Genomic DNA, 22,830 nt, shown 5'->3' with positions numbered 1-22,830 from the left:
CCTGCTATGCCCCATGACCCATCCCACCACTGAGGAAGCAATGTGGAAAGATTGTGGAAGCAGAACAGATGAGGTCTTTATGAACTGAGATAATACCACCAAACTCACAGGACTGCTGTAAGAACAGAGAGCATGCCTAGACCAGAACCACTGGAAAGGCTGAGCTGCAGCTCAGATTGTGGTCTCTAACAAAGCAAACTGGTTCAAAACCCATGTTCATTCCTGACAAGTGTGGGTCTTGCCTCTGGACCTGATATGCTTGATTTTCTTTTCTTTTTTTTTTGAGACGGAGTCTTGCTCTGTCCCCAGGCTGGAGTGCAGTGGCGCCATCTCGGCTCACTGCAACCTCCACCTCCCAGGTTCATGTGATTTCTGTGCCTTGGCCTCCTGAGTAGCTGAAATTGCATGAGCTATGTTTTGCTCAAGCGCAAAAAAAAAAAAGCTATTTTTTTGCTCATGCAAAAAAAATTCTGCCTGGCTAATTTTTGTATTTTGTAGTAGAGATGGGGTTTCACCATGTTAGCCAGGCTGGTCTCGAACTTCTGACCTCAAATGATCTGCCTGCCTCAGCCTCCCAAACTGCTAGGATTACAGGCGTGAACCACCGTGCCTGGACCCTAAAACTGTTTTCTAATAAAAATGGCATATATACATTTTAGTAACTTTCAAGCAATCAAGAAATCTTTAAAATTTTCTCCATACAGGCCTTTTTTTTTTTTTTTTTTTTTGAGACAGAGTTTTGTGCTGTTGCCCAGGCTGGAGTGCAGTGGCACTATCTCAGCTCACTGCAACCTCCACCTCCTGGGTTCAAGCAATTCTCCTGCCTCAGCCTCCTGAGTAGCTGGGACCACAGGCGTATGCCACCACAACTGGCTAATTTTTGTATTTTTAGTAGAGACGGGGTTTCACCATGTTGGCCAGGCTGGCCTCGAACTCCTGACCTCAAGTGATCCACCCTCCACAGTCTCCCAGGATTACAGGCGTGAGCCACCGTGCCTGGCCCATCTTTTATGAACAATATTCTAAGCAATCTTTTAAATCTTTTAATGTGTTGCTATTGAAAACTGTATGTTTTTATTTTTTATTTTTGAAAGAAAGTCTCACTCTTGTCCCCCAGGCTGGAGTGCGATGGCACGATCTCAGCTCACTGCAACCTCCGCCTTCCCGGTTGAAGCGATTCTCCTGCCTCAGCCTCCCGAGTAGCTGGGATTACAGACATGTGCCACCACGCCTAGCTAATTTTTGTATTTTTAGTAGAGACGGGGTTTCACCATGTTGGCCAGGCTGGTCTCAAAATCCTGACCTCAAATGAGCCACCCGCCTCGGCCTCCCAAGGTGCTGGGATTATAGGTGTGAGCCACCGCGCCCGGCCTGAAAACTGTATCTTTTAAAAAATACATTTATTATTTATGTAGAAATGTATATAGGTTTAAAAAAGAAAATTGGCTTTTGTCACTGATCTTATATCCAGTCACCTTGCTACATTTTTAATACTTCTAATAATTTATTTGTAGATTTTAGGTTTTTAATATGAATCTGATGACGACAGTTTTTTTTTTTTTTTTTTTTTTTGACAACAGTCTTGCTCTGTCGTCCAGGCTGAAGTGCAGTGGCACGATTTTAGCTCACTACAATCTCTGCCTCCTGGGCTCAAATGGTCCTCCTACCTTAGCTTCCTGAGTAGCTGGGACTACAGGTATGTGCCATCCTGCCTGGTTTATTTTATTTTATTTTATTACGTTGTTGTTGAGACGGAGTTTTGCTCTTGTTGCCCAGGCTGGAGTACAATGGCGCGATCTCGTCTCACTGTAACCTCCACCTTCCCGGATTTAAGCGATTATCCTGCTTCAGCCTCCCAAATAGCTGGGATTACAGGCATGCGCCTAATTTTGTATTTTTTGTAGAAGTGGAGTTTCACCATGTTGCCCAGGCTGGTCTCAAAACTTCTGAGCTCAAGCGATCTGCTTGGCCTCTCAAAGCACTGGGATTATAGGTGGGAGGCATCCCGCCTGGGTGACAGCTATTTCCCCTCCCCGTTCCTTTCCAATGCCTATGGCTTTTTTATTTCTTTGTCTTACTGTACTGAGTAGACCTTAGTATAATGTTGAATAAAAGTGTTGACAGAAGGCATCCTTGTATTATTCCTGGTTTAAAATCAATGTTTCTGGCCAGTCATGGTGGCTCATGCCTGTAGTCCCAGCACACTGGGAGGCTGAGGCAAGTGGATCACTGGAACCCAGGAGTTCAAGACCAGCCTGGGAAACATGGTGAAACCCATCTCTATAAAAAATCAAATCAAATCAATGTTTCTAATGTTACACCATTATAACTCATGCTGCTAAAGGGTTTTTTGGTGGTGGTGGTGGTGGTGGTGGTGTTTTTGAGACAGAGTCTCACTCTGTTACCCAGGCTGGAGTACAGTGGTGTTATCATGGCTCACTGCATCCTCGAACTTCCGGGCTCAAGTGGTCCTCCTGTCTCAGCCATCCAAGTAGCTGAGGCTATAGGCAAATAGTACCACACCCAGCTTTTTTAATTTTTTGTACAGACAGGGTCTTGTTTTCCCAGGCTAGTCTTGAACTCCTGGGCTCAAGTGATCCTCTCATTTCAGCTCCCAAAGTGTTAAGATTGTAGGTGTGAGCCACCATGCCTGGCTTATGTTGCTAAAGGTTTAATGTCCTTTATCAATCGAGAAAGCTCCCTTTATTCATAATTTGTTTTTACTTTTTAATCAAGAATGCTATTAAATCAATTTCTCCTTTACAATTTGTAGGAAAAACCCAACGTGATCATGAGATTTTTTTTAAAACAGGGCCAGATTAAATTTGCTAATATTTTGTGGGGGATTTTGCGTGTGACTTCGTTTAGTGAGCTTGGCCTGTCATTTTTCTTTTTTTTTTTGAGATGGTGTGTCGTTCTTGTTGCCCAGACTGGATTGCAATGGTTTCATCTCAGCTCACTGAAACCTCTGCCTCCTGGGTTCAAGCGATTCTCCTGCCTCAACTTCCTGAGTAGCTGGGATTACAGGCATGTGCCACCACATCCAGCTAATTTTGTATTTTTAGTAGAGAGAGGGTTTTTCCATGTTGGTAAGGCTGGTCTCGAACTCCCGACCTCAGGTGATTCACCCGCCTCGGCCTCCCAAAGTGCTGGGAATACAGGCATGAGCCACTGCGCCCGGCCTTTTCTTATATATAGTTTTTGTCTGGTTTTGGTACTGAAGTTATGATGGTCTCCCAGAATAAGTTAGCATTAGCATTCTTTGTCTATTTTTAGAGCGACTTTTATAAGTTTGGTAGCCTTTGGTTTGAGAAACCCATCTGACTTGGCGTTAAATTTATGAGGCTGTTTTTATTATTCCACGTTCTTTTTTTTATTACTATAAGTTCTGGGGTACATGTGCAGAGCATGCAGGTCTGTTACACAGGCATACACGTGCCATGGCAGTTTGCTGCACCCCTCATCCTGTCATCTACATCAGGTGTTTCTCCTAATGCTATCCCTCCCGGAGCCCCTACCCCCTGACAGGCCCTGGTGTGTGATGTTCCCCTCCCTGGGTCCATGTGTTCTCCTTGTTCAACTACCACTTATGAGTGAGAACATGTAGTGTGTGTTTAGTTTTCTGTTCTTGTGTTAGTTTGCTGAGAATGATGTTAGTCTGACAGGCTTCCCTTTGTGGGTAACCCGACTTTTCTCTCTGACTGCCCTTAACATTTTTTCCCTCATTTCAACCTTGGTGAATCTGATGATTACGTCTTGGGGATGCTCTTCTTGAGGAGTATCTTAATGCTGCTCTCTGTATTTCCTGAATTTGAATGTTGGCCTGTCTTGCTAGGTTGGGGAGGTTCTCCTGGATAATACTTTGAAGAGTGTTTTCCAACTTGGTTCCATCCTCCTCGTCACTTTCACGTACACTAATTAAACGTAGATTTGGTCTTTGCACATAGTTCCATATTTCTTGGAGGCTTTGTTCATTCCTTTTCATTCTTTTTCCTCTAATCTTGTCTTCTTGCTTTATTTCATTAAGTTGATCTTCAATCTCTGATATCCTTTCTTCTGCTTACCGATTTCGTTATTGATACTTGTGTATGCTTCATGAAGTTCTCGTGCTGTGTTTTCAGCTCCATCAGGTCATTTCTGTTCTTCCCTAAACTTGTTATTCTAGTCAGCAATTCCTCTAACCTTTTCTCAAGGTTCTTAGCTTCCTTGCATTGGGTTAGAACATGCTCTTTTAGCTCAGAGGAGTTTATTACCCACCTTCTGAAGCCTACTTCTGTCAATTCGTCAAACTCATTCTCCGCCCAGTTTTGTTCCCTTGGCGAGGAGTTGTGATCCTTTGGAGAAGAGGTGTTCTGGTTTTTGCAATTTTCAGACTTTTTGCACTGGTTTCTCCCCATCTTTGTGGAGTTATCTACCTTTGGTCTTTGATGTTGGTGACTTTCAGATGGGGTGTGAGTGGACATCCTTTTTGTTAATGTTGATGCTATTCCTTTCTGTTTGTTAGTTTTCCTTCTAACAGGCACCTCTGCTGCAGGTTTGCTGGAGGCTCACTCCAGACTCTGTTTGCCTGGGTATCACCAGCGGAAGCTGCAGAACAGCAAAGATTGCTGCCTGTTCCTTCCTCTGGAAGCTTCGTCCCAGAGGGGCACCCGCCAGATGCCAGCCGGAGCTCTCCTGTATGAGGCGTCTGTTGGCCCCTACTGGGAGGTATCTCCCAGTCAGGAGACATGGGGGTCAGGGACCCACTTGAGGAGGCAGTCTGACCCTTAGCAGAGCTCAAATGCTGTGCTGGGAGATCCACTGCTCTCTTCAGAGCCGTGAGGCAGGGACGTTTAAGTCTGCTGAAGCTGCGCCCACAGCCGCCCCTTCCCCGAGTTGCTCTGTCCCAGGGAGATGGGGGTTTTATCTACAAGACCCTGACTGTGGCTGCCGCCTTTTTTCCAGAGATGCCCTGCCCAGAGAGGAGGAATCTAGAGGCAGTCTGGCCACAGCAGCCTTGCTGAGCTACGGTGCGCTCCTCCCAGTTCGAACATCCCGGAGGCTTTGCTTACACTATGAGGGTAAAACGACCTACTCGAGCCTCAGCAATGGCGGACACCCCTCCTCCCACCAAGCTCAAGTGGCCCAGATTGATCTCAGACTGCTGTGCTGGCAGCGAGAATTTCAAGCCAGTGGATCTTAGCTTGCTGAACTCTGTGGGGGTGGGACCCGCCAAGCCAGACCACTTGGCTCCCTGGCTTCAGCCCCCTTTCCAGAGGAATGAACGGTTTTGTCTCGCTGGCGTTCCAGGTGCCACTGGGGTATGGAAAAAAAACTTCTGCAGCTAGCTCAGTGTCGGCCCAAACAGCCACCCAGTTTTGTGTTTCAAATCCAGGGCCCTGGCGGCATAGCCACCAGAGGGAATCTCCTGGTCTGTGAGTTGCGAAGACCATGGGAAAAGCACAGTATCTGGGCCAGAGTGCACCGTTCCTCATGGCACAGTCCCTCAGAGATTCCCTTGGCTAGGGGAGGGAGTTCCCCGACCCCCTGCATTTCCCAGGTGAGGCAACGCCCGACCCTGCTTTGGCTCACCCTCCGTGGGCTGCACCCACTGTCCAACCAGTCCCAATGAGATGAACCGGGTACCTCAGTTGGAAATGCAGAAATCACCTGCTTTCTGTGTCAATCTCGCTGAGAATTGCGGAACGGAGCTGTTCCTATTCGGCCATCTTGCCAGCAATCCCGTATTTCATGTTCTTTTTTTATTTTGAGATGGAGACTCGCACTGTTGCCCAGGCTGGGGTGCAGTGACGTGATCTTGGCTCACCACAACCTCTGCCTCCTGGGTTCAAGCGATTCTCCTGCCTCAGCCTCCCAAGTGGCTGGGACTGCAGGCACGCACCACCATGCCCAGCGAATTTTTTTTTGTATTTTTAGTAGAGACAGGGTTTCAGCATGTTGTCCAGGCTGGTCTCGGACTCCTGACCTTGTGATCTGCCTGCCTCGGCCTCCCAAAGTGCTGGGATTACAGGTGTGAGCCGCCGTGCCCAGCCCTCATGTTCTTTAACAGTTGTGACTATTCAGTCTTTTTTGGATCAGTCTCATTATTTTTTTCCCAAGGAATTTTCCCATGTCATTCAGTTTTCAAACCTCTTTTTCAATTTTAGAGATGAAGTCTTGCTATGTTGACCAGGATGGAGTACAGTGGCTATTCACAGGTACAATCTTAGCATAATATAGCCTCAAACTCCTGGGCTTATTGATCCTCCTGCCTCGCCTCCAGAGTAGCTGTGACTATAGGCACATGCCACCATGCCTAGCCAGTTTTCTTTTTTTTTTTTTTGGAGGTGGAGTCTCACTGTGTCACCCAAGCTGGAGTGCTGTGGTGTGATTTCAGCTCACTGCAACCTCCGCCTCCCAGGTTCAAGCAATTCTCCTGCCTCAGCCTCCTGAGTAGCTGGGAATACAGGTGCACACTGCCACGCCCAGCTAAGTTTTTGTATTTTAGTAGAGATGGGGTTTCACTGTGTCGCCCAGGCTGGTCTCCAACTCCTGAGCTCAGGCAATCCACCTGCCTCAACCTCCCAAAGTGCTGGGACTACAGGCCACTGTGCCTGGCCGCCTAGCTAGTTTTCAAATCAACTGGTAAGAAATTGCTCATAGAATTCTTTCATCTTTTAAATCTGTACACAACCTGTAATCGTACCTCTTTTTCATGTGTTTCTTTTGTTCTCAACAAACTGTGTCAGAGGCTTATTTTATAGAAAACCAGGAATCCACTTCTGGCTTTACTGATGTTCCCCTACTGTATCTGTTTTTTACTGCCTGGTATCTCAACAGCAGTGTTACTATTTGGCATCTGCCCTCTGGGCGACATACCTCTTCCTCCTTGCCCACTGGTACCAGAAATTACCCTAATTTCCTGCAAGCTCAGCAATATATCCAAAAGCACATTTTCCCTCGGTATCCAAGATATAGTCATTTTTGTAGTATAAGGGTTTCCCAGGCGATCTAGTCTGTCATATATTCCGAATTTTTCAATTCTCAACTGTTTCTCAAGATTCACAAATTATACAAAGTTTTATTAGACTAACCTCTCTGATTTATTAGGTCCTAGTTATAAACATGTATGTACACTTTTTAGCACTCCTCCTCCCCACCACTACTGTAGTCTGTATTCTTCTTCTTGACCAGCTCCAATGTCCTCAGGACAGCATTTATAATATAATCTTATTTAGTGTTACTTGCTACAACATTAAAAGGGTAAAATACAAATAAGTTTATATTTGATAATTTCCTGAAAGAAATCTATTAAATAGTAAGATATAAAATGGGGCTGCCAGGTAAGAGTAGGTAAGGTAGAAAATCAGAAATCTTTTAATTTCTATACGTGCTGAGAACATTATAGGAACTCAGAAAAATTGTTTGATCCATTGAGAAGTCACAGAATGACCCGTCTTCAATATAAAATGTTATTTATTCAGGAGATCCAAATAAACTCTTCGACTCCATTATTTTTTGATCGTTGAGATCAGAAATACAGAGAAGAGTACAGTAAAATAATATGGTGCACTACCTTGAAAAATTCTGCAAAATGATTCCAAACTCACCTGAATTCTCATCTGCTTGGCACACGCTGTCTAAAACCTCCTGATCACCTTCTGCAGCAATGTATGCCCAAGTATCCGTTTCGTCTCTGGTGTTTCTCCTTTCTTTAAGTGACTGTTTGTTTTCCTTGGTTTTGTGATCGTCTATGGTTTTAAAATCCAGTGGTATTTCTTCCCTTTTCCGATTATTCTCAGAAACATCATTTTTTTCTTCTGGAGTTAATTTAAATAAATCAAATGCATTTCTGATTTCCTTAAGTGCTAACGAAAAAATTAAAATAGATGGTTAAGTATGAGTCACAAATTTCTGTTACATTCAAAAGAAAATCTAACTTAGTGTTAAAGCAACAAGATATTTTCTTAATTTTTACTAACATCTACCTTGCTTATAAAGCCTGGTCTGATTTACTGTCAAAGCCACAAAATCGTTTCAGCTGGTCTTTCTACTGGCTGCTCAATATTCAGAAAGGATGTCCAGTGTGAATGGCTGTTAAGCAGATGTTCTGAACTACTCACCTGCAGTTGTGACAAAGGCCTACTGAAGGCAGTGAGTCTCAGAGTGATCCAAGTCACACCAGCACCTTTCCCACAGCTAAAGACACCAGACTGTCTATAGCTGGATGTTGAAGCTTGTACCAAAATGGCTTCTGGTGGCAAGTGAGGGAAACAGCAGGGTGCCAGAGCACTGCCTGTGTACCTGGTAAAACTGTACCTGACGCTACCAGCTTTTAACTAAAGAAGAAAGTGGGAAGAAAACTGGCAGGTACTAGACCTGACATAAGAAATAACCCCAAAAAGAAGAGAATTAGGATGAATTCTATTATAAACTCTGGGTACACAGCAGACAGGTTTTATTATCAGGGAATATTGAAAACTGGACTCTAGTGAGTACCCTTATGAATGGGACAAACAGTAGTTCCATTTAAGGCTGTATGTTCACAGTAAAAATGTATCTGAAACTGACATACAAGATACTAGGAGGAAAAAAGGTTAACAAGGCCAGGTCCAGTTTTACAGTATTTTGAACCTCTAGTCATTCTTTGAAGAATAGAAGGCATTTAAGATTTTTGTTTTGCTTTGAACAACAGTCTTACAGCCACTTTATGTGTGACCCACTGAAACAGCCACTGCTCCTGCCACTTCATTCACCTGCTTCTACTGCCAAAACCAGCCTAGGCTTAGAAAAAAACTTACTTTTAATATTACTTCAGTTACATACAGCTTTCAGTAAGAAAACCTAAGGAAAAGCATCCATCTCTTAGAACCACTGTTTGCCAGAAAACATGTGTTCCAAGTACTTTTGCTACAGAAACTAAATATTTATCTGCTAGGGTTTATTCAAACACTGTAATGGTGTTTTTTTGTTTGTTTTCAAGAAATATAAAGTATTTGTTCCAATATTTATATATATAATGGATTTTCTATTATGGTCTATCTTGAAGTGATCCAAAATGCGTATTCAATATTATATTTACACAAATGACACAGAGTTACATATAATGAATATATTAAAAGGTTTTTTAAAATTTAGCATCTTGCTATAAAAACACATTTATTTTTCTGCCACAACTAATTTCCAGTCTCAGTAATTCTAATCAGATCCCTCATCATATTAAAAAGGAAAAACAAGGTGAAAATAAGGAAAAAAAATTATATAAATTTTTATATAATAAATTTAGGTAACTGGTTATTTGTATAAAAGATAGCAACGTAAATGGCAAAACGTTAATATTTACACTCACTCTTTAATCCTTTTGGCTCTTTTCTGCCTTTTTCTTCCTTGTCAGAATCATGCCTTTTCTGATATTTTTCTTTGGATTCATTTCTTTTGGTTTCTTTGTCCTGAAAATGACATGATATCCAAAACAAGAATGGATAAAGAGTTGACACTGTAAATTTATTTGAGAACCGGAAAATACAGGTTTGTGGCTTCAGGGAATCACCCTTGTATACTGTGGTACATGATAACTGATCATTAAATCCTCTTCACACAAAAGAATTTTGCTTCCTCAGTCAACCATATAATAATTCACAAAATATCAAATTCCAAACCCAACATCAGTTTTCCAACCCTCTTTTAGGAATTTTATTATTAAAAAAAAAAAAAGAAAATTATAAGAAAGTTTTCCACCCATAGTCTTAACCAACCATGACTATTGTACTTCTCCATGTTCCCCCTTCTGGTCCTCGTACTTTTACATGGATAATCTTTTTTAAAATTCATTTTTGTTTACATTACACACATATTTTTACATGACTGTGTTCACATTTATGTAGGGTTTTCTTCTCCACTGCATTTTCTAAGTTGTTCTATTTTGCTGTAGCACTAATGAAGATAATACTGCCATAAATAACTATGTATGCACAGCTTTTCCTTCTTTAAAATGATTTCCTTAAAATACATTCCCAAAACTGGAAATAATGGATGAAAAAAATGATGTTTTTTATAGCCCTTGATAAATATTGCATATATAAATACTCTCATAATTTGGAAAATATATCCATTTTGCAAAGCCATATAAAAATAATTTTTATAATGGGACAAATTCCCTATTAAATACATTTTAAAAAGCATTAAAATACTGGTTAATGTAGTTTGTGTCCTATTATTTAATAGTGGTATACTCAAGACAACAGGGGAAATGACCAAGCAGGATGTGAAAAGTTAATAAAATAAGCTGATGAAGCTATAAACCTGAGTATACAATGCTCCATATATCATCTGAGTACCTCTAAAAACCATCCTGATTTTTGTTCACAAATTAGCCTTTAATTTTCTAGTCATAATCATTCTAAGAGAAACAAACCAGAGACTAAGAGATAAGCTGCGGTGTCCAAAAGCTGGAGGATCTTCATTTATGACCGCCCATGGTCATAAACACTTTCTTATAGCTTGACTGTTTCCCTTTCCTTGCTTGTGAAATGTCTTGACCACTCAACATGGGTTTTCTGCTGCCTCCCGTGGCCCTTACCTCCTCGGCTGAGTCCGTGGACCAGAGGCCTCTCTCTTCCCCGCTCAACCTCCGGCCCTTTGGCGTTTGGGCAGATACAGGCATCAGCTTCTCTAACTCTGCAGCACTTTTGCTTCTGTCTTGATTCCTCTGCTTTTTAGGCACAGTTTTCTTCTCTAAGAAAGCGTTCTTGTTCTCTAGCTTCCTGTTCTCTCTAGTGTCCTCAGCCTTTCTCGGGGTCTTCTTTTTCCTCCTGCCTCTGACATCGGTATCCTCCTCAGCACTCATGGCACTGTCTAGGGGCTTCTCAAAGCCATGCTCCAGCCCCATGTCCTGCCCTGCTCTCTCTCTTGCACTTTTAGTGTTTTGTTTCTCTTCTCTGCTGTCGGAATGTAGCCCTTCACTGTCATCCTCTGGAAAGGGAGAATCATTAAGTACACTTGATTCAGATTCCACCTGGGATTCGACAAATTTTTCTTTTTTTGTTTTTCTATTTTCTTTGGGATCTTCTCTTGTTTTCGTCTTTAAATCTCTTATTTCACCCTTTTTAACTTTCTTTAATTCTTTTGTTTCTTTTACTTCATCTTTTTTGGGCTTTTTGGACTCCTTTAGTTCTTCTTTGGCTTCAGAAATTCTTTTCTTTGTCCTTAAATCAAAAACTAAACTTTCCAAGGAGCTCTCCAGGTCTGGTTTGGACTTGTCTTTTAGCTTCCCGGCCTTTGCTTTTTTCTTTTTCAGATCATCTGGGCTTTTCTCTTCTCTCTGCCTCAATTTTTTCTTTTTCTTCTTTGGGGAAGTATCTTCTTTTGTCTCACTTTGCTGATCGCTATCAGAGTTCGCCTCAAATATGTCGTTATTTAAGGATAGTCTCTATAAAATACAAAACAGATTAAAATATTCATTAACATATTGATTTTAAAGGTTTTGAAAAGTAGTACTAATGAAATTTGGTAAGAATATTTTTTGTTCCAAGCAGAATCTCAACTTCTTAAAACTGCTTACCTAAGCTGAAATCGTATGCTACCTCTATCTCTGACTCAGCAAACAGGTCTTGGCGGTGAGGGCAAGTGTGAGTCTGGAAGGCAGGGGTGCACAGAAACTCAGTGCTGCTGAGCGCCCAACCCAAAGTGGGAGTGAAAGGACTCAGGTATGGTGGGCTATAAATGATTTGAATTTCAACATTTCCAAAACCACCAAGAAAGTAATTTTTACAGACTTTCTTGGCTGCCAACAAAGTAGTTACCAATGCAAATACAAAACGTTTTCTAAGACCCTGGATCCTGGAATGTCCTTAAACTTGCTCCTACGTTTGACAGTTATGTACAGAACAAGCAAGACTGCACACAAATCTTACTTCCCAAGTTCATGTGTTATCTGAAATATTGCTTATGAAAAAATATTTTCCTATTTTAAAATTGAAAAAAAGAAACTTAAGAATAAAGTACTCGTATAAACACAAAAACACTATGCAAAGTATTTTCTGTTCCCATTTCCCAAAACCACCTTATCCTAAATGACTTGGGGGTAGAGAGAAGGGATGGAAACGATAGCTTTTTTTTTTTTTTTTTGAGACAGAGTCTCATTCTGTCACCCAGGCTGGAGTGCAGTGACTCACTGCAACCCCTGCCTCCTGGGTTCAAGCGATTCTCCTGCCTCAGCTTCACGAATAGCTGGGATTAGAGGAACGTGCCACCACACCCTGCTAATTTTTGTATTTTTAGTAAAGACAGGGTTTCATCATGTTGTCCAGGCTGGTCTCGAACCCCTGACCTCTCGGCCTCCCAAAGTGCTAGGATTACAGGGGTGAGCCACGGCGCCTGGCCAGATATACTTTAAAAATGTCTTCCCTGCACTGCCTAAGAAATGGACACCACCAAGGTTAACAAGTGGGAATATGGTGGCACTGGCTTAACCTTTCCAATCTCCCTGAATCACCTCATAAAAAACAAGGCAACTAGGACAGCAAAACAAAACTCCCCACAGACAGCTTTTGGTTTTAGTAAGTCCCAAGTCCCTACCACACAGGCCTTACCAAAACTAAAACAGTGGTAAGGCCCATGTGGTGTGGATGGTCACTCAGGGGAAGCGAAGGCAACAATCTGGAAAAGCCCAGGCTGCTGCTGCCTGAGAGAGCAGCTGTGGGGTGGGGCCTGCTGTGCACTGGGCAAGGCGGAGAAGGGGAGAGGTGGCTGACCCCTCCCAGGCCCTGCAAAAGGGACCAGTGAAGCTCTCCTCAGGACTTCCAGGACCAAGCCCCACAAGGAGGAAAAACTGCTAGGATTAGATTCCAAACCAAGTAGGCCAGAGAAGACAGAAACAAAAGATCTAAAAAAAAATTTTTTTTTAATTAGCCAGGTTGACTATCCTAAAAGCAATAAAAGCATACCAAAAAGACATGTCTATAAAACAGAAGAGAAAACAAACAAAAACTTTGGAGCATCAGGCAAAAAGACCCCAAGTCACTTACAAGACAAATAAACTCAACTGGTCATCAAGAGCAATGTTTTGTGCCAGATAACAATGGATTAACACAGTAAGACACCTGAGAAAAGAAAATGTGCACTAAGGAATCTGCAACTGGCATTCAGATAGAAAGGCTGCCAACACACTGTTAGGAAACAAAAGAAGTCAGTGAATATTGTTCTCAAGAGCCTTCCTACCACAGAGGTGGGTTGCAAACTCTTGCATGCACCTCTGCTGGGGACTGATGCTCCTGCCGGAGTCCACACTTTGAGACGTCCGGTACTAAAGCATGAACTTCAGATAACCAAAAATGACTGGACAAACATCACCATAAGGACTGGTGGAAAGCATTAATTATGTATTTGCTTCTAGGACTAAGACTGAATGAGGGTTATAAGAGAGACTGTAGTATGTGTGACTAAATGTTCTAACAAGGTACAGTGTATCTAGGAAATAACAGGGAGATGTGGTGAGAACATATTAAAGGAATATTATGCTTGCTGATTATAGTTATTAACTGGGAGTAAAGGACAGTATTTCAAATTAGATATAGAGGGAGAGAGAGGGCAGGGAGAAGATAGGTCCTAGTTAATTTCTAGTTTTATCCTTTGAACCACATTAAGTATTTTACATACTCAACAAAATTGCATCGGCAAGGATGGAGGAACCCTAAAACTGAATACAAACAGACAAATGAACCTGTTTATAAAATTGATAACCACACAGAAAAAAAAATTCAAGTAACTTCTGAACATTAAACAGTGCATATATTCTAAGAACAAAAAGAACTACAAATGAATGTGGAACTTTATCAAATAGATTAACAAATACTGTTTGTCATTCACAGTAGAAAGGGCATAGCAAATCTGAGGTTAATTTCTCTGTATTGTAAGATTTAGTAAATGAGGACATGCAATACTGTTGTGACCAGAGTTCTCCTGGTAGGAAAAGGGAGAACACGTAGGTCTCTGTGGTGACACTGTGGTGACAGGCCGAGTTACAGAGGTCAGCATGGATTTATTGAGGCTGGGATGTGCCACTGTGCCAAAAAAGAGAGCAGTGCTACCCTGAGTGGGAGCGCCAGGACACAGGGGCTGGTATGAAGGGGTTCCAGCTAAATGTACAACAGTTTTAGCACCAATAGTAACATGTTGAATAAAAGAATCTCTGAAAATGTACTGGTGCCAAAAAAAATACCCATATTTGTTTTCTGAATAAAATATGTATTAATAAAAGATTATTTTAAAGGAAGGGCAAAGGGCAAAATTAGTATATGGTACCATCTTTAAAAGAAAAATCAGGTCGGGCACAGTGGCTCACACCTGTAATCCCAACCAACACTTTGGGAGGCCGAGGTGCGAGGATTACTTGAGGCCAGGAGTTCCTACCAGCCTGATCAATAGAGAGAGACCCTGTCTCTGGAAAAAAGAAAAAAAATTAGCCAGGCCTGGTGGCGTGTATCTATAGTCCTAGCTGCTTGGGAGGCTGAGGTGGGAGGATTGTCACTTGAACCCAGAGGTTGAGGCTGCAGTGGACCATGACTGTGCCACTGCACTCCAGCCTGGGTGACAGAAGCAAGACTGTATTTAAAAATAAATGAGAAGAAAAGAAAAAAATCATACATCTACGTATAACCTGAAGACAGATCAAGCGCAGAAAATAGATTTTACCTATCTTTCCGTAACTGTAACTGTTTAGGGGTCTGGCCCCTATGAGACACTCCATGTTTACTCAAAAAAGAAAAAAAAGCTAAAAATACTACGATGTTGACAAAACAGTTCAGTAGAAGTCCATTAGTGTCACGTAACATCACTCAAAGCTCATGACAGACCAGTGGTCATCTTATAAATACACCTGTTTTACTAAGTGATTGCTTCACTTACTAAACCAGTGCTGACCCAGTGTATGGTAGTTATGTAGTATACACACATGCTCAATAAATGCCAGGCACTTCTGTTATTGCTATTATTATTAACAACTACTACACACAGTCAAAACTAATATTGTTTTGGTCATTTAAGAAAAGACTAGGTATTTTAAAAAACATAGTTGAAACTTAAATTGTAGGGAGAAAGATCAATGTTCAGCCTATAAAATCATGAGAATCATTCTCTTAATGTGAGATATCTTCACTATATAGTTCTAAGTTGTTTTTTTTTTTTTTAAACCAGGTCCTCACCAGATAATTTGTTTTAACTAGCAGAAAAAGCAGGCATAAGACATAGTTAATAATGCAGAATAAATATACAAAAACAAGTTGCTCATGTCACGGACGAACAAATGATAGTTTGGCATGTCTCTTTTTTCTCCACCTTGACCTTACTCTTAACTTAAAGGAAAATATCAATATTCATCTCCAAACTATTCTTGTTTGTCAACTGCAACTGTAGGTTGGGTACAGAAAGAAGAACCCAGCAAAAATCACTGAAAGCAGTCTGTGAGAATTGGCTACATGGAATTTACACTAAAGAATACGGTACACTTTGTTATTTGTAAATCATTTACTACACATACTTTGAGAGTTAAAATTTACAATAAATTTATGTATGTAAAAACAAATATGAGACAAAACATAGTACCTGAATATCCTTCCTGACTGCTTTGGCTTTGTTCTCTGCAATTTTCTTCCTAAATTCAAGAAGCACTTCTTTACAGTCCTCCAGGTGAATCTCGGGCTCCCAGGTATCATCATCCGATGTATAGCCTTTCCAGCGAACTTTGTAAAGAACTTTACCCTGTTATAGAAAATAAAAGGAGGCAAATAAAGCAGATTGCTAACTTGATTAAATTTCCAAAAAAAAAAAAAAAACTGATGAGAAGACATGAAAGAACTTGAAAATTGCTTCTAAGTGGAAATTTTCACATTCTAAAGTACACACATCTCCTGAGAAAAGTGGCTTAAGAAAAAAAGTATTGACCAGGTGCAGTGGGATCATGCCTATAATCCCAGCACTTTGGGAGGTCAAGGTGGGCAGACTGCTTGAGCCCAGGAGTTTGAGAACAGCCTGACCAACATGGTGAAACCTTGTCTCTACTAAAAATACAAAAATTATGGGCCAGGCGCAGTGGCTCATGCCCGTAATCCCAGCATTTTGGGAGGCCGAGGCAAGCGCATCACCTGAGGTCAGGAGTTGAAGACCAGCCTGGCCAACATGGTGAAACCTTTTCTCTACTAAAAAACACAAAAAAATTAGCTGGGTGTGGTGGTGGGCGCCTGTAATCCCAGCTACTTCGGAAGCTGAGGCAGGAGAATCGCTTGAACCCAGAAGGCAGAGGTTGCAGTGAGCCAAGATCACACGCCATTGCACTCCAGCTTGAGCAACAAGAGTGAAACTCTGTCTCAAAAAAAAAAAAAAAAAAAAAAAAAAAGATGGTGGCACGTGCCTGTAGTCCCAGCTACTTGGGAGGCTGAGGCAGGAGAATCGCTTGTATCCAGGAGGCAGAGGTTGCAGTGAGCAGAGATTGTGCCACTGCACTCCTGCCTGGGCAAAAGAGCGAGACTCCATCTCAAAAAAAAAAAAAAAAAAATTAGCTGGGCACAGTGGCATGTAACTGTGGTCCAAGTTACTTAGGAGGCTGAGGTGGGAGGATTACTTAAGCCCAGGAGGCAGAGGTTGCAGTGAGCCAAGATAGTGCCATTGCACTCCAGCCTGGGTAACAGAGCCAGACCCTGGTGTGGAAAACAAAAGAGAGAAATGAAAAGAAAAAACAGTATATTATTGATCTGTTTTTCATAAACCAAAGACTGAAGTCCTATTCTGATTCCATAAAGCAGTACGTAATTCTTGAAAAGCAATGAAAAATAGAAAAGATAGGAAGAACCAAATAATAAATGGATACTGAAAACAATTTGATCTATTTCCTTCACCTATTACATTAATACATATTTAGAATGTTTTTAAAACATTAGGATAATACTATAATTTTTAATATTGCTTTTTCACTTACGTATCAAGCACTTTTTGTTATAACTTTTCAAACGCTCTTTAGTGACTTAAGATTATTCCATCATACAAATACAACAAAAAATAGTACAAAAACGCTCCCTTTTCCATTTTTTTTGTACTTATAAATAAAGCTGTAATATCCCTGTGTATCTCTTATTAAGTTGTTAGAATAAATTCCCAGAAAGGAGGTCAATGGGGTAAAAAAAACCTAGCCATTTCCAGGGTTGATGGCAGCCAGGCGTGGTAGTAGGCACCTAGAGTCCCAGATACTTGACAGGCTGAAGTGGGAGGATCGCTTAAGCTCAGGAGTTCGAAGCCAGCCTGGGCAACATAGTGAAATCCCATCTCAAAAAAAAAAAAGGCAAGCCATTTAAAGATTAAAACACACTGCCAAATGCCTTCCAGAAAAAATGCTCCAATTTACACTCCACCAGATACAAGAGTCCATCTCTCTGTATCAGGGGTCAGCAAACTACAGCAGGGCCTGCCTCCTGTTTTTGCTCACCTTGTGATCTAAGAATTGTTCTATATTTTTAAATGGTTAAAGGGAAATCAAAAGAATTACATTCATCAACTGCTTTACAATGTGCCATGCGCTGTCTAAATCTTTGCATTTATTAGTTCATCATTAATATTTACAACATCCCCATGAACTAGGTAGTATTACCCATTTTATAGATGAGGAGACTAAAGCTTCTAGATAAAGTAACTAGTCAAAGATCACACAGCTAATGGGTAGTTCAGCTGAAATTCAAACCCAGTGTCTTACCCCACAGCTTTTTTTTTCTTTTTGGTTGTTTTTTTTTTAAGACAGGGTCGCCCAGGCTGCAGAGTAGTGGCGCGATCTTGGCTCACTGCAACCTCCGCCTCCCGGGTTCAAGTGATTCTCATCGCTCAGCCTCCCAAGTAGCTGAGATTACAGGTGGGCACCACCATGCTCAGCTGAGTTTTGTATTGTTTAGTAGAGATGGGGTTTCGGCATGTTGGCCAGGCTGGTTTCAAACTCCTGGGCTCAAGAGATCTGTCCGCCTCGGCCTCCCAAAATGCTGAGATTACAGGCATGAGCCTCTGTGCCTGGCCCATAAAATTCTTAACACAGGAATAAGTTTTCACGACTTTGGATTTGGCAATGCATCTGTAACTGGGGACCTCAGTTTTTAAAATATATTTTAATCACCTTCTTTTTCTTCCTTCCCTCCTCTCTTACCCCTGCATTCCTTTCCTCTCTAGACACTCTCTTCCAGCAATGCATGCTTATCTAATTATGCTCTTGCTTAAGAAATTCCAGAGGGTAGGCCAGGTGTGGTGGCTCACACCTGTAATCCCAGCACTTTGGGAGGCCGAGGCAGGTGGATCACGAGGTCAGGCGTTTGAGACCACCCTGACCAACATGGTGAAACCGTGTCTCTACTAAAAATACAAAAATTAGCCGGGTGTGGTGGCGTGTGCCTGTAATTCTGGCTACTCAGGAGCCTGAGGCAGGAGAATCGCTTGAACCCAGGAGGCGGAGGTTGCAGTGAGCTGAGATCACACCATTGTACTCCAGCCTGGGTGACAGAGCAAGATTCCATCTCAAAAGAAAAAAAAAAAAGACATTCCAGAGGCTAATCTCAAACAAACCAGGCACTGTAGAATCCTCCTGCTCAGGAGGAGTCGCAAGCAACTAGGCTACCACCAGCGCCAACCAGACCTCCAGATGGGTGACTAGCCAAAATAGCCATCCAAACAAAGACACACAGACCCTGTAGCACCACTCCCACATGTCTCCCATACCAAGCTGCCTTTTAAAAACCCTATGGTAAATTTTTTTTTTTTTTTTTGAGACGGAGTCTCGCTCTGTTGCCCAGGCTGGAGTGCAGTGGCACAATCTCAGCTCACTGCAACCTCTGCCTCCTGGGTTCAAGCAATTCTCCTGCCTCTCCCTCCCAAGTAGCTGGGATTACAGGTGCCCAGCACCACGCCTGGCTAATTTTTGTATTTTTAGTAGAGATGGGGTTTCACCATGTTGGCCAGGCTGGTCTTGAACTCCTGACCTCAAGAGATCCGCTAGCACCATTCTAGCTACACACTTAACACTTGCCTGATTTTCTTCACACCACCACCAAGGCAATAAACTTTCCAAGCGAAGTGCCAAGAACTGCTCCCCACCCATTTTACCCTTCAATTGTACCCACACTGCCCTTCAATCATTCAGTTATCTGTGTAGAAAGATCAAGTACAAGCACTGAGTAGAATCTGAACTCAAGAAATATCAGAAAAAGAACAAATTCAAAATCTTAACTTTTTTTTTTTTTGAGACAGAGTCTTGCTCTGTCAGGCTGGAGTGCAGTGTCACGATCTCGGCTCACCACAACCTTCGCCTCCTGGGTTCAAGTGATTCCCCTGCCTCAGCCTCCCGAGTAGCTGAGACTACAGGCGCACACCACCACGCCTGGCTAATTTTTTGTATTTTAGTAGAGACGGGGTTTCACCATGTTGGCCAGGATAGTCTCGATCTCCTGACCTCGTGATCCGTCTGCCTCGGCTTCCCAAAGTGCTGGGATTACAGGTGTGAGCCACCGTGCCCAGCCTCAAAATCTTAACTTTTAAAGATAAGCCTGAAAAGCCTTAAAATTTTAAAATAATAGTTAAGAGTACATCAATACAGTTTTATTGTTCAGCAATACAGTTTTATTTTTACTGTTCAGCTACATTAAATGGGTGGGAAGATGGTGATTTTATCCATTGAGAATATATGCATATTCTTTTAGGCAAAATAATATACAAAAGGAAAACTATTGTATACAACTTTTTTTTTTTTTTGAGATGGAGTCTCACTCTTTCGCCCAGGCTGGACTGCAGTGGCACGATCTCTGCTCACTGCAAGCTCCACCTCCCGGGTTCATGCCATTCTCCTGCCTCAGCCTCCCGAGTAGCTGGGACTACAGGCGCCTGCCACCATGCCCACCTAATTTTTTGTATTTTTAGTAGAGACGGGGTTTCACCATGTTAGCCAGGATGGTCTCAATCTCTTGACTTCGTGATCCGCCTGCCTTGGCCTCTCAAAGTGCTGGGATTACAGGCGTGACCCACCGCGCCCGGCCTGTATATAACTTTGTAAGAGCTTCTGTCTTCTGTAAAGGCATAATTAAAACTGAAGAAATTAAAGATGAGACAGCACAGCTAAGAAGACAGCTTCTTAGCTTGCATGAATGGGGGAAAAGAAAAGAAATCTTAGTCAATAGTATGCAGAACTGCCTAAAAGAAAGCAATATATTTGGTTTTAGAATAAACATCAGAGCCAGGAGCGGTGGCTCATGCCTGTAATCCCAGCACTTTGGGAGGCCGAGGCGGGTGGATTTTATCAGCTAATTTTATCAGTAATGGGTCATGGGAACAAAAATGATCCTTGTTTGTGTGTGTGCATAAAAATAGTGGTAAATGCGTTATTCAACATAGCCCTTAAAAACACCACTTTCAAATGGGCCAGAAAAAAATGTACATAAACAGAAAAAAGATAAATAAATGATTAACAACTAGAGAATCTGGGTGAAGGTATATGAGAGTCTATCTAATTCTTACATTTCTGATAATTTTTAAAAAGCAGTGGAGACTAGAAAATTACCTTTTACATTAACATAGTTATAAATCTAATGCTAGTTATCAGTGAAATATGACCTAATTGATGAGGAGGGTATTAAGAACAATTTTCAAGTATTAAGGAACATATCTTAATTATAGCTCCAGATTTAATTTACTGATAATTGTTACCCTTTACTTCAACAGGTGTGCTTCATTCATTCACTCATTCAACAAATAGTTATTGAACGTGGTCACTATGTTTCAGGAACCTTCTGAGTTTTAGGAGCATGGCAGTATACAAATACAGATGAAATCCCTGAATTCCACGTCTTTGTATGGAGTCATGTAAATCCAAAAAATTGTCCAGGGTTTTGCCATGTATAAGGAAATTGCATGATAGCCCTAGGATTTATAAATTTGACTTCAAAATTCCAGAAGCAGTCTATTTCTTGGTAGCCAAAGTTTCCTTTAATCAGTGAGCCAAACTAAAAGGCAGACCCCTATTCTACCAGATCATATACACTAGAGCAACAGTTTAAAATTTTGTTAAAAAAATTAAAAAATTGGCCTGGCACAGTGGCTCACACCTGTAAATCCCAGCACTTTGGGAGGCCAAGGGTGGAGAATCACTTGAGCCCAGGAGTTCAAGGCCAGCATGGGCAACGTAGGGAGACCCCATCTCTATAAAAAATTAAAATATTAGTCATGGTAGAGCACACCTATAGTCCCATCTACTCCGAGAGGCTGAGGTGGCAGGATTGTTTGAGCCTGGGAGGTCAAGGCTGCAGAGAGCCATGATTATGCCAATGCACTCCAGCCTGGGCAACAGAGAATCTGTCTCAAAAAAAAAAAAGGAAATTAATATACACTATTAGAATTTAATTCTCTGCTTACTCTATTACCCCAAATAAATTATAAATAATGATTTGGAATGGTGGTGTATGTATGTATTTCCACAGTTCTTATGTTAATTATTCATACATATAGTTAGAATCAAGAAATATTATTAATTAGTAAAAAGTGAATCAATTGTAAGTGTTTCTGATTATAGACTATAGACTAGACTATAAGGAGGCCTAACAAACCGCTAGCAGTACCCTTAAGTTTGTCAATGGCTAGGTGGCTAACCAACCGGCTGGTTCACTCAGCAGTGAAAACAGAAAACTGCAATAGTCCTGTTCCGCTAACACCTTTTGTATTAGTCCGTTCTCAAACTGCTATGAAGAAATACCTGAGACTGGGTAATTTATAAAGGAAAGAGGCTTAATTGACTCAGTTCAGCATGGCTGGGGAGGCCTCAGGAAACTTATAATCATGGCGGAAGGCAAAGGAGAAGCAGGCACCTTCTTCACAGGGTGGCAGGATCGAGTGAGTGCAAGCAGGGGAAATGCCAGACGCTTATAAAACCACCAGATTGAGACTCACTCACTATCGTGAGAACAGCATGGGCGAAACCACTCCCACGATCCTACCTCCACCTGGTCGCGCCCTTGACACATGGGAATTATGGGGAATACAATTCAAGATGAGATTCTGGGTGGGGACACAGCCAAACCATATCATCTTTAATCATATAAACCACTCCTTCACAAGAGCACCTAAAAATGCAAGAACTTGAATTTTAACTCACAACACTAAAGCCTAATTGCCTTACACAAATAAGTTTCTTAGTTTCACCCTCTTTAGACTGGTGAGGCTTTAGGTATACAGTGCTTACAATTCTTTGAGGCTGGCAAAATTAAACACTGTATGAATGAGAATCATCTTAATTCTAAAGATTTTATCCTTCTAGCCAAATTATTATTATTTTTTTTGAGACGGAGTCTCCCTCTGTCGCCCAGGCTGGAGGGCAGTGGCGCAATCTTGTTTTACTGCAACCTCCGCCTCCCGGGTTCAAGCAATTCTCCTGCCTCAGCCTCCCGAGTAGCTGGGATTACTGGCGCCCGCTACCTCGCCCAGCTAATTTTTGTATTTTTTTGTGTTTTAGTAGAGACGGGGTTTCACCATGTTGGCCAGGCTGGTCTCGAACCCCTGACCTCGTGATCCGTCCGCCTTGGCCTCCCAAAGTGCTAGATTACAGGTATAAGCCACTGCGCCCGGCCCTAGCCGAATATTTTTCAAATACCTCCTGTGTGCCAGGTATTGTGTTAAATGCAAGTGATACAAAATAGTCTAACAGTGGCTCATCCTTTCACCTCAAAGTGCTTACAATATATTTGGAGAAATTATACATAAAAACATTTCCATCTTTATTGCAAATAACAATATTAATGACATCAGCTCTTAATTACTTAACTCCTCATAGGAAAAGTTTCCACTATT

The 22,830-nt window shown here is 41.7% G+C and overlaps 1 protein-coding gene across 5 annotated transcripts in view, besides 1 other annotated feature; it reads right to left on the bottom strand.

Annotated features, from left to right (window-relative positions):
* MPHOSPH8 (M-phase phosphoprotein 8) overlaps positions 1 to 22,830 on the bottom strand; it is a 39,783-nt gene that overhangs the window by 15,592 nt on the left and 1,361 nt on the right. For all 5 annotated transcript variants that reach the window (XR_007063684.1, NM_017520.4, XM_047430395.1 and 2 more), the window contains exons 2-5: positions 15,580 to 15,735; positions 10,559 to 11,407; positions 9,329 to 9,428; positions 7,590 to 7,847 (exon numbers count right to left, since the gene is read on the bottom strand). Coding sequence is in view for 4 of the 5 variants with exons in the window: in NM_017520.4 (NP_059990.2) it covers positions 7,590 to 7,847; positions 9,329 to 9,428; positions 10,559 to 11,407; positions 15,580 to 15,735 (1,363 nt within the window). In the remaining variant the exon portion in view is untranslated. The remainder of the gene's footprint in view (positions 1 to 7,589; positions 7,848 to 9,328; positions 9,429 to 10,558; positions 11,408 to 15,579; positions 15,736 to 22,830) is intronic.
* Positions 12,436 to 12,937: an enhancer, noted in NCBI's record as "H3K4me1 hESC enhancer chr13:20219053-20219554 (GRCh37/hg19 assembly coordinates)". NCBI's record gives its function as "activates a minimal SCP1, AML or CMV promoter by ChIP-STARR-seq in primed H9 embryonic stem cells {active_cell/tissue: H9 hESC(primed)}" and the evidence as "EXISTENCE:reporter gene assay evidence [ECO:0000049][PMID:30033119]".

The sequence above is a fragment of the Homo sapiens genome, chromosome 13 (assembly GCF_000001405.40).
Source record: "Homo sapiens chromosome 13, GRCh38.p14 Primary Assembly".
NCBI lineage: Eukaryota > Metazoa > Chordata > Mammalia > Primates > Hominidae > Homo > Homo sapiens.
This window is presented reverse-complemented; position numbering and strand designations above follow the sequence as displayed.